At 35.2% G+C, this 12,336-nt stretch overlaps 1 long non-coding RNA gene across 13 annotated transcripts in view; it reads right to left on the bottom strand.

Annotated features, from left to right (window-relative positions):
* LINC02955 (long intergenic non-protein coding RNA 2955) overlaps positions 1-12,336 on the bottom strand; it is a 491,729-nt gene that overhangs the window by 392,562 nt on the left and 86,831 nt on the right. For 2 of the 13 annotated variants that reach the window (NR_187508.1, NR_187503.1), the window contains exon 2: positions 11,306-11,466. The exons of the other annotated variants lie outside the window; for them this stretch is intronic. This is a non-coding gene — a long non-coding RNA (long intergenic non-protein coding RNA 2955). The remainder of the gene's footprint in view (positions 1-11,305; positions 11,467-12,336) is intronic. 13 annotated transcript variants of the gene reach the window in all.

Genomic DNA, 12,336 nt, shown 5'->3' with positions numbered 1-12,336 from the left:
GAGGGTTTGTTTAGTTGTTTTGAGGCATAGAAATAAGATACAGCCATACCCTCCTGTTAGTTGTAAATTACAATATAAGCTAAAGTAAAATTTTAGAGTCTTAAAATGTTTAGTCTAAATCTAATTTTTAAATTTTTATTTCAGGCTAGGTTTCATTTAAGGTGTATGCTTATATCCTCAGTCTTTTGTTAAACAAATATGTTACAAACGTCCCATTGTTTATCTGGATCTAATCCTTAGTTTTCTTTATCTGCCCCATTTTTATCCCCTACTGTTCTGAGAATTTATATGCTGCCAACTGCATAAATGCTTTTCACATGTTCATCACATGCTTATTTTTCAAGCAACTTCTCAGAGAAGATGTTCCCGTACAGATACTCTCCTTTCCACTGTTTACTGCCTTTCTATATAAATAACAGATTGCAGTAGTGATATCACTGGATCTGGTAGGGGGGAAAAACACCAATAATAATGTTTTTCTTTTCAGTCAATCTATTAGCAGTATGTGCGCCTTTCCCATGAGCCATTTTTGCTAACCATTATCAGAGCTACTCACCATCAAAATCATCTTTGCTTTTAAAAATAACCCTCTTTCCTTCAGCATGTTGGCTGTCATTTATTAGGTTGGAAAACTGATTTTTGCTTTTGATATATGGATTTTGCCTTATGCTTTCCTGTGTTTGTGATAGAGTAAAACTCATTCCGGTCTCTGGTATGTCACCACATTCTCTCGTTTCATAGAATTGAGAATGAACAATAGCAGTGATATAGAGAGACACAGACAGACCTAGACATAGACATAGACATAGACGTAGACATAGACATAGACATAGACATAAATATAGATATAGATCTTAGAAAATCTCTCAGATTTTAATTCCAGAATTTCAAATCCCCTTTATTTTAAAACCTAAGTGTATATGAGAGAGAATAATTCCATTTTTTTCTGACTTAATTCAAGACATAAAATCATGGATATCCAAGAAGCCAGTAGAGCTTATTTTTATAAACCTTATCTATTTCTTGGAATCTAAATGTCGTAGGGCTGAGTGGGCCTCTTACTTGAAAAGATTCATGTTCCCTTCTAGAGAGAAGGCCATATGGTCCAATTCTGCTGAGCAGCATAAGTAATTACTTAAGACAAGACTTGCCTTTAAGGTCAACTAGACAATGTCTAGCGTTAACTTCCTTTTTTTTTTTGAGGCTGGTGGGTAGACAGCCATGAATGCCTTTTTTTCTCTCCTCACACTTGTGCTGACCAACCTTCTTCCTCTCCCCTTCCTCCTACCTTCCCTCTGGTTGCTGTAACACTTATTTTATTTATTAGTTAAATTATTTTAACTTTGAGTTGCATTTATTCAATATTCATTCAAGTTAGTTTTATATTCTGTTTAATGATTTTTACCCCAACCTCCAAGTGTGTGGTGGGTGCTACTGTTCATAGTGAACAGGGTTTGGTCCCTTAGTGAGAGCAATAAATCTGAGACGAATAGCAAGAAACAGACACAGATAATGAAACACTCCACTCACCCAGGATTCATCAACTGCTTCTATTTCTGCTGTTGGCATATGCCTTGCTACTCATCCGCTATAGATTGCAAAGCAAGACGTTGCATTTCTATACTCCAGTTTTTCTTAACATTTAGAGATTTTGAGTCTTGTGTAGAAGGAACACAGTTTAATTAAATCATTTGTATCTAGTCTCATATGTTGTATGTGAAATCTCTCTCACCCTTCCAACTCCTATTTTCTGTTCAGTTACTTATGATTGATTAGTGCTCACTTGCCTCTTTATTTATAGGCATTGGCTTTCCATTTAATATTTCTTAGTGCACTTATTTTTTTTAACTGCTGCTGCTCTGATTTTTTGGCATACACACTAGTGCCTTCTGGACTGTGCTAAGCTTTGACAAGACTGAAGAGGAGGCCCGACTGAATTTGTCTAGTACAGCTAGCACTCCACTCAAAATAACTTTTCCTTTAAAAAATCTATTTTTACTGGTTCAAGCCTCATCTAATCTTTCAATCATAAGGTTGAGCCTTGCATTTTATTTTAAAGTACAAGGGGTAACATTTAAGACATTAATAAATAGAAAAAAAATCATTTTTAATTCTGTACATTTAACATAGATTAATTTGATAAAATTAAATCTGTTGTTTGACTCTACTGAGCTAATCAGCTTTGTAGGCCAAAAATATCAAACACTTGGCCTTTTCCAGTAAAATATCTCATAGTAAAATCTCTTTTCCCTTTGCCAATTCTTGAACTCCATACATGACATGGAGCACTATTTCCAATCGTAAATGAATAATCATGTAAGAAATGATCTAGTTTGTCATAAGACAACTTACGCTAGAACTTACTCTAACGCAATTGCCCGTCCAGTGTGCCTGTCTACAACCAATGCTAAATTAGCACCCTCTGAGTGATTTGCTTTTTTAGGGAAATAGGATTAACAAAGGAAATTGAAATTATTAAGGGATATGAAGGAAAATTTTTTAATTGGTCCAAGTTTGCCTGTGGCCCACTGGACCACATCGTCATCTCCTGATGGGGTCTGAATTCATTATGTTTTCTGAGACTGTGGAAAATTAATAATAAGAGGAAATGGGAAGTGGCAAAACTAAACTAATTCAAGAAAAATAACTGATTATCTGTAGCTTCCCATGACTGTGGAAAGATTACAACTATTGATTCAAAAGACAAATTAAGTTTATTTTATTTTACTTTTGAGTAGATAATAAATGTACCTGGTTATAAAGTAAAACATTAAAAACAATGCAGTAAAAGGCCTCACTCCCACCCCTGCTTTTATCTGCCCTGTTCACCACCTGCCACCTCCAAAGGTAACCCGTTTTATTAGTTTCTTGCGTATCTGTTCAGAGTTTCTTTATGCAATTATAATCAAATGTAAATATATATTCATATTCTTCCCATTTATATTCACATTCTTCCCACTGTCTTATACAAAATATAGAATATGAAATATACTCTTTCAGTTCTTTTTTGTTTTTACCACCCAATAGAAGGGAAAAACTTTCCATCTCAGTATATAGGGAATTTCTTTTTCTTTTTTAGAGCTACCTTGTATTACATTGTAGGGGAAGGACCACCATTTGTTTAATCAGTCTTCTATTGATGGACAGTTAGGTTATTATCAACCTTTTGTATTAGAAACAAGGTTACAACAAATAAGCTTTCCTATAACTCATTATTTGTGTTTGCAGTTTTATGTATAGGATAAATTTCATAAGCAAAATTTCTGGGTCCAAGGGAAAATGCATTTATAATTTTGATAGGTAATACTAAATTGTATTTTATAGTTATTGTGCCATTTTAAACCAATAAGTAAAAAAAAAAATGCTTTTCAGTTTAATTTGCATTTGTCTTATTCTGAGCGAGTTTGAACATTTTTTACGTCTTAAAGGCCAAGTTCTATTTCCTTTCCTGTGAAGAGTCTGTTCATATTATTTATCCACTTTAAGAAAACACATCTAGTCTTTTTCTTATCAACTTCTAGGATCTCTGCAAATATTAGGGAGATTAATTTTTTAATTCATAATAAAAATTATAAGAGTTGCAAATCTTATTGTAAATTTTAAGCTGATTTTTTCCCAATGTGTTATTCATCTTTTAATTTGCTTATGATAGTTTTTATCTATAGTAGTTTTTATATACAGATTATATACAGATATCTGTATATAATCAAACTTATATATGTATAATCAAAAACTACATATATAAACTATATAGAATGATATATAAACTATATATATATATATATATACAGTAATGTGGTCAAATTTATCAGTTTCTTCTTTTATGATTTCTGAATTCTTAATCATATTAGAAATGCTTCCCTACTCCAAAGCTAAAAAGTAATTCACCCATTTTTTTCTTCTACTGTATTACTTTTATGGTTTCATATATTACATTTATACCTTTAATACATTTGAAGTTTTTCACAATATACTATGTGAGCTATGGATTAAACTTTATTTTTTCCCAGTAAACTATCTTATCATCCCAATATCGATATTGTTTAATGAAACTTACTCCTTCTTCTCCCCATTGATTAGAGATCCACACAAATGTTTAAAAAAACAAATAAATATATTTGTAAGATTCAGTCAATAAAAGGCTAGTTTGTAGCTAAGTGCTTCAATCATATTACCATACATCATGCTTTCAATTCTCTCTTGCTTGAAACTCCCTAGATAAAAATGAACATTTTTTAAAGTTAATTTTGGCCCAGTCTATAGCATATAAAGGAAATTACTAAATACACAGAAATATTTTTTATTTATTTATTTATTTATTTTTAGAGACAGGGTCTTGCTCTGTCACCCAGGCTGGAGTGCAGTGGCACAGTCATAGCTCACTGCAGCCTCAAATTCCTGAGATCAAGCAATCCTCCCACCTCAGCCTTCTGAGTAGCTGGGACTACAGGCACGAGCCACCAAGCCCAGCAAATGTTTTATGTTTTGTAGAGATGGGGTCTCACTATGTTGCCCAAGCTGGTCTCTAACTCCTGGCTTCAAGTAATTCTCCCACCTCAGCCTCCCAAAACACTGGGATTACAAGTGTGAGCCACAGGGCCCAGCCAGAATACTTCTTTATTGTTTCCTGGCAATAGTTTTATGAGGATCATTCCAACAAAAATATGATTAGAGATGACTATTTAAAAATATGTAATAACAATAGACAGCCATTAAGTGTCCACTAATAACCAGATAATTGATTAGGCAATTTTGTATATTTTGTCACTTAACTCTCACAATAACCCCAAAAAGTTTATTATATCCATTGCGCAATCAAAAAACAACTGAGGCTCAGTAAGTACCTAACAGAATCAAGATTTTAACTTAGTTCTGCCTTTCCTGCAAACCCATGTTCTCTACTGATACTCATTCTCTCTCTCTTTCTGTCTCATTCTCTCTCTCTTCTTCCCTCTATGTGTGTCTATATAGACACACACATGTGTATATATATATATACAGACACACACACGTAAATATCAATACAAATATTTTATATATGGTTTTACATATATATATATATTCCACAGGCAAACTATAATAAAAATACATACTTATTGAGTGTCTATATGTGCTAGGCATTATGTTAAGCACTTTGCATATTTAACTCAATTGATCTTTTTTTTTTTTTTTTTCTTTTGAGATGGAGTTTTGCTCTTGTTGCCCAGGCTGGAGTGCAATGGCACAATCTCGGCTCACTGCAACCTCCACCTCCTGGGTTCAAGCAATTCTCCTGCCTCAGCCTCCCAAGAAGCTGGGATTACAGGCATACGCCACCATACCCAGCTAATTTTTTATGTTTAGTAGAGATGGGATTTCGCGCTTTTTGTCAGGCTGGTCTGGAACTCCTGACCTCATGTGATCAACCCACCTCGGCCCCTTTTTTCTTTTTCTCTCTTTTTTTTTTTTTTTGAGACGGTGTCTTACTCTGTCACCTAGCCTGGAGTGCAGTGATGCAATCTTGGCTCACTGCAGCCTTGACCTTCTGGGCTCAAGCCATCTTTCCACCTCAGCCTCCCAAGAAGCTAGGACTATAGCTGTGCGCCACCACGCCCAGCTAATTTTGTTTTTATTTTTTGTAGAGACAAGGTCTCACTATGTTGCCAAGGCTGGTCTAGAACTCCTGGACTCAAGTGATCCTCCCACCTCAGCCTCCCAAAGTGCTGAGGTTACAGGCGTGAGCCACAACACCTGGCATGATCCTCATTTAGAAAAAAAAGGAAAGAAAAATTCTATTAACCTCATTTCCCAGATGGGAAACTGAGCAAAGAAAGGATAATTTTCCCAAAGTCACACAAGTAATAACAGGTGGTAGCAGAATTTGAGCCCAGATGACATAGCTCAGTGCCCTTGCCCTTACAGTACTTTATTATACTATGTCATTGTGCACACGGTTAGCAATAAACATCATTAATGGGTTAAAGTTGATCCAATATTAATGAGTCTTCAATTAACCAAAATACTCAGAGACTGGGGCCAATAGACTGATCCCCCAAGTGTTACATGGATATTCCACTCTTCCTACAAACTCTTTTATTTTTAGCATCTTGACCTAGTAAACACAGAACACAGAAAATAATTTGATCTTCCTTTATGATGAAATATCCTGAGGCGATGTGCTTCTTTCACATGGCATGCCTGTATCAAAACATCCCAGTTACCCTATAAATATATACACTTACTATGTACCCACAAAAATTTTTTAAAAACTAAAAGTAAATTGAAAATAAATAAATAAATATCCTATGGAAATATCAGGTCATCCTTAAAGCTGTACTACAACTACTCATCTGTTTCCTCCTCTCCAAGGCTTTCTTAACCAACTCCCTCTTTCTGCCACCCTCTCAGCAACTGCCTCCACTATGCTCCAGCCTGAGTTTGAATATACCTCTGTAACCAGTCTTGACACTTAACATTACTCTCTTGTTTCCACTCAATCTCCCTGCTTCTCCCTCACACCCTTTCTCACCTCCACTTCCATCCTCGCTTTCACTTAAAGGTACTGTCTATTCATACCTATGTCCAGACACAAGCCTGGCAAACGAGTCACCACACATAAGTGTTTCATTCAATAACACCTTAAATGATTTCCCATTTCCCTTTCTACACATCAGCCTATCTCCTAGAATGAGTCATTTTCTTCTTCCTACCAGCTCCTAGCCCCACCCCTTAGCCAGATGTGTCCTATAATCAGATTATTCTATGCTTCACGATTATCCTTCCCTCGTTGAATAAAATGCTTAGATCCTTAGTGCTCTGACCTCAGCCAAATAGCCCTGAGGAAAAGTAAATCAACAGAAACTGTTAGTGAACACTCAACAGCCCAAAGTGTTGGTTCTCCAGATGAAATCAAATTTTAAAAGAGACAAAGCTAAACCAAAGAAATAAACTGCTAATAAAACATTGTGGGTATTTTGGTAGAGAAGGAAGACATTTTCCTGAGGCTCCTTAACTATCTCCTGCACAAGTACCTGTTCTTCACATACCTATTAAGAACATAGGTATATATAAGAAATTTAACAAAAAGCAAACTAAGCTCTAGATCATATTTTAAATATGTGGGTTTTATTTGCTTTTGCTACAGTCCTCATTTCCTATTATCCTCTTTCTATTTTAAAGCCAAGTTCAGAAAGTTTTTAACAAATTGAGGGTTCAGATTACGATCAATTTTGGGTATAAGTATTCATCATCCAATCTCACTGCTTCCTTTTTAGTTTATGAAACCCTGCTGAGAGTTTTACCAATCTACATAGGCTGCGTTGTGGCTAATTACATTTTTGTCTTCATTTATACCATAGGAAGAGCTGAAAATATCATTAATTCCTGAACATAAGAATTTTTATGGCATATTAAATCACTGTTGCAATCCATTTGATTCACCATATTAACAAACTAAAAAATAAAAACCATATGGTCTTCTCAATATATTCAGAAAAGCATTGACAAATCCTACGTACATTCCTGATATATATATATTAAAAAAAAACTTTCAGCAAACTAGGAATAAAATAGAACTGTCTAAACCCGATAACAGGCATCTACAAAAAAACCTACAGCTAACATCATACTTAATGGTTATATTCATTTTTTAGGGCTGCCATATTACAATACTACAGACTGGGTGGCTTAAACAACAAAAATTAATTTTCTCACAGTTCTGAAGGCTGGAAGTCCAAGATCAAGGTCTAAGATTATGGCTAGTTTCATTCTGAGGCTTCTTTCCTTGACTTGCAGATGGCTCTCTTCTCTCTCTGTCTTCACATTGTCTTTCCTCTGCACTTACACATACCTAGGTCCTAATGTCTTCTTATAAAGACCCCAGTTATATTGGATTAGGGCCCACCCATGTCCTAATTTTACCTTATTTGCATTCTTAAGAGCTCTCTCTGCAAATAGTCACATCTTGAGGTACTGGAGGTTAGGACTTAAATATGAATTTGGTGAGGGGGAACAAAACTCATCCCATAACGATGGTAAAAGACAATGCTTTCCCTTAAGGTCAGGACAAGGCAAGAATATTTGCTCTCACTACTTTATTCAACATTGTACTAGAGGTTCTAGTCATTTCAGTAAGGCAGGAAAAAATAAATAGAAGATATTTAAATAGGAAAGGAAAATTCAAATGAATGTATATGTACCGCCAATGAACAATCAAAAAATACAATTTAGGATTGTATTTTTAAAATATAAAAATACAATTTTGAAACTTAAAAAATACAATTTATACCAGGATCAAAAGCCATGAAATACTTAGGAATAAATCTCATACAATTTGTGCAAGATCTGTACAATGAAAACAAGAAAACATTGCTAAGGGAACTTAAAGAAAACCCAAATAAATGGCTATAAATTTTTTATTGATTAGAGACCACTATTGTCAGGATGTCAACTCCCATTAAATTAATCTATAGATTCAACTCAATCCCAATGAGAACTCAGCTGGCTTTTCCGTAGAAACTGACAAACTGATTCTGAAAATGCAAAGTGCCTAGAGTAGCCAAAATAAATTGAAAAGGAAGAACAAAGTTGACTAAATAATTCTGATTTCAAGACATAAAAACAAAGCTGTCTTTATTTACTAAAGATACTTAAATAGACCAATGAAACAGAACAAAAAACCATGATTACTTCTACCCATATGTGGACAACTGATTTTTGAGAAAATGCAAAGGCAATTCAGCAAAGACAAGATCGTCTTTCAACAAATGGTACCATTTTCAACAAACAGAACATTAAGAGAAATAAATTTTAATTCAAATCTCATATAATATACAAAAATAAACTCAAAATGAATTATAGACCTAAATGTAAAATCAAAAACCACAAACCTTCTTTAAAAAAATGAAAATCTTTGTGACTTTGGATTAGGCAAAGATTTCTTAGATACAAAAAAATATAGATATGACTATCCATAAAAAGAAACATTAATAAACTATAATTTATCAAAATTAGAAATGCATGCACCTCAAAAACATTTCTTAAACAATTAAAAGACGAGCCACAGCCTGGAGAAAAACACTGTAAATCCCATTGCCAACAAAAGACTTGTATCCAAAGAACTCTCAAAACTCAATTTTTAAAAAATCCAATTTAAAAATGGTCAAAAGACAGAAATAAATCCACATATATATGGGGTTAGGACTTAAATATGTGAATTTGGCAAAGGGGAACAAAACTCATCCCATAACACTGGTAAAAGACAATGCTTTCCCTTAAGGTCAAGACAAGGTAAGAATGTTTGATCTCTGACAAGGATGCTAATAATACACAATGAAGAGAGAATATGTCTTCAACAAGTGGGTTTGGGAAAACGGAATAGACATATGCAAAGGAATGAAATCGTACCCTTATCTAACACCATACACAAAAATCAACCTCAGACTGCATTAAAGACAAATATAAGACAAGAGATCGTAAAACTTAGAAGAAAATGAAGGGAAAAGTTTTATAATATTGGTCTTGACAATGGTTTCATGAATATGACATCAGAAGCACAGGCAACAAAAACAAAAAAAACAAGCAGGACTGTATCATACTAAACAGCTTCTGTATAGCAAAGGAAATAATCAACAAAGTGAAAAGGCAACCTGTGGATAAGGGGTTAATATCCAGGCTATATAAGGAATGCCTACAACTCAATAGTAAAAAAAATAAAATAAAATAATCCAATTTAAAAATGGAACTTGAATAGACATCTCCAAAGAAGACATACAAATGACCAGCAGGTATACGAAAAAACACTCAACATCACTGCTAATGGGAATGTGAAATGGTACAGCTGCATACATCCATGTAAAGATTTGTACATGGATGTTCATACAGCTTTAACTATAATGGCCATAAGCTGGAAACAACTCAAATTCCCACTAATAGGTAAATAGACAGATAAATCGTGGTATATCCAGACAATGGAATACTATTCAGCAATACAAAGGAATGAACTATTGATACAGATGACATAAATGAATCTCAAAATAATTATGCTGTTAAAGAAATCATAACGACAAAAAAGAGTATACTGTATCATTCCACTTAAAGAAAACTCTGTAAAATGCAAATTAACCTATAGTGGCAGAAAGCAGATCAGTGGTTGCCTAAGGGGGTCAGAGGAAGGAATTACTAAGGGGCACAAGGAAACTTTTGGAAGTAATGGAATGTTCTATGGTGAAGATTTCACAGGTGCATACATATAACTAATCAAATTGCATTCACTAAATAGGTGCAGTTTATTGTATGCCAATCACACCTCAATAATGAAAAAAATTCACAGGGAACAGCTCACTCTCCAAATATTTCCCAAATTCTGATTTTCACCAAAGTTCACTCTGCCTTTGCTTTTGCTGTTCTCTCAGGTTAAGAAGCTCTCTCTCCTTTCCTATACTTATTCCTGTCATCTCACCTGTCTATCAAAAGTCTTCTTGCTCCCCAAAGTCTCAGTCAAGCTCAAGGAAAATGCCATCTCCTTCAAAAAGCTCTTCCCACTATTCTATGTCTACCTGAGTTGCTCCTGTCCTTATAATCTCATCTGGTTATTTCATTTTGTCTTCGTAATACAGATAACTTTTTTTTTTTTTTTTTTTTTTTTGAGACAGGATCTAGCTCTGTTTTCCAGGCTGGAGTGCAGTGGCATGATCTCAGCTCACTGCAAACTCCATCTCACAGGCTCCAGCAATCCTCCAGCCTCAGCCTCCGGAGTAGCTGGGACTACAAGCATGCCACCACACTTGGCTAATTTTTGTATTTTTTGTAGAGAAGGGATCTCCCTGTGTTGCCCAGGATGGCAACTGGGCTCAAGTGGTCCACCCGCCTCAGCCTCTCAAAGTACTGGGATTACAGGCATGAGCCACAGTGCCCGGCCCAGTTAATTTTTACGTACTCATCATCCCCATCACACCAAAAGTTCCTTGAGAGAGAGGCTGTTACTTTTTTGTTGCTAATTCTACCTACGGCCTAGCAGAGCTTTTGGTTATTGAAGTACTCTGTAACTGCTTCAAGGGTGAATAGCTCCACGGAAGGAAGAAACAGAAAATAACATATTCCATTCCCTTAGCTCAAGTTTTCTTCTGAAAGGCAACCTCTATTCTAATACTCCAGTTCGTGCAGATGTGCTGAACAGCACTCATGTGTTATCTACACAAGGAGCTCATTTTAAACACGTCTCCCTGGAGATAACCTCTTAACCCAAAGGAACGATTCTTGTGGTAGACGTTTAAGACATTCTGGCAGGCTGGTGGGGAAAATAGCATTAAGAAAAATAAGACCTTACAAAATGCCCTCGCATGATCCTGAGCTGGAAGTCCGCCCTCAGAACAGTGGTACAGGAAGTGATCGCTCACTAGCTGAGCCAATAGATTTTTTCCAAGTTCCCCAGTGATCCCTAGGGAGTAGCTGTGAGACTTGAAGAATCTGTGTTGCCTCCTGTGTTACCTGAAAATAAGAGATTTCTGTTGTAATTTTTTTTAATAGATGAGAAAACCAAGGGACAAAGGGATCCAGAGGTGACAAAATTTACAGGCAAAACAGATGTTAAGTATTCTAACTCTCCTGAGCCCAGGCCAGAATCTCTTACAGAGTTTTTTAGAAAATGTTTCTTTACTATTTTATTAAACACTGGAAAAATATTTGACATCCTACCAAAGCTTTTGTGGTTTAAAAAGCAGTACTAAGAGTTTGGGGACACAGATTGCTTATTTGGATATAATAGAGAGTACAATCATATTTTCATCAGTGTGTAGTTTAAGAGCTATTTCTTTTTTTTAATAGGCTGATATAACCTAATTCAAAGGAAATAGAATGTGCGTTTAACGTAGTAGCAACTAAACAGGCTTCACAGACTGTGGGAAAGACCTTTGAGGTTGAAGTTAAGAAATGTTAACTTCTCGACCGCTCATAAACCCTGACAGCATAACAGATTATGTACATTTTTTGCTAGATTGTAAAACCCATGAATGTAAGGATCTCTTATTTCCTGATTTAGCCTTATTCATTTATTCATTTATCATATATTCTCTCTGTGTGTTTTATATATGAAAGACTGTTTTGCACCTGGGACATAATGACAACTGAAGTCTCCTTCTCTAACTGAGCTTACATTCTGGTAGGAAAAGATAACCAATCAAATACACATAGCAGAGAGTGACAAACACTCTTCAGAGATTTAAACTAGGGCATTGTAATTGAGAGTTATCAGCTGGCCACTAGTTGGATGATCAGGAAAGCACTGTTTGAAGAAGTAACATCTAAGATAAGAACTGAATGACAAGGAGAAACCGGTCATGCCATGAGCCAAAAGTAATG

The sequence above is a fragment of the Homo sapiens genome, chromosome 12 (genome assembly GCF_000001405.40).
Source record: "Homo sapiens chromosome 12, GRCh38.p14 Primary Assembly".
In the NCBI taxonomy this organism is placed as follows: domain Eukaryota; kingdom Metazoa; phylum Chordata; class Mammalia; order Primates; family Hominidae; genus Homo; species Homo sapiens.
The sequence above is the reverse complement of the archived record's forward strand: the minus strand, read 5'-3'. Positions and strand labels throughout refer to the sequence as shown.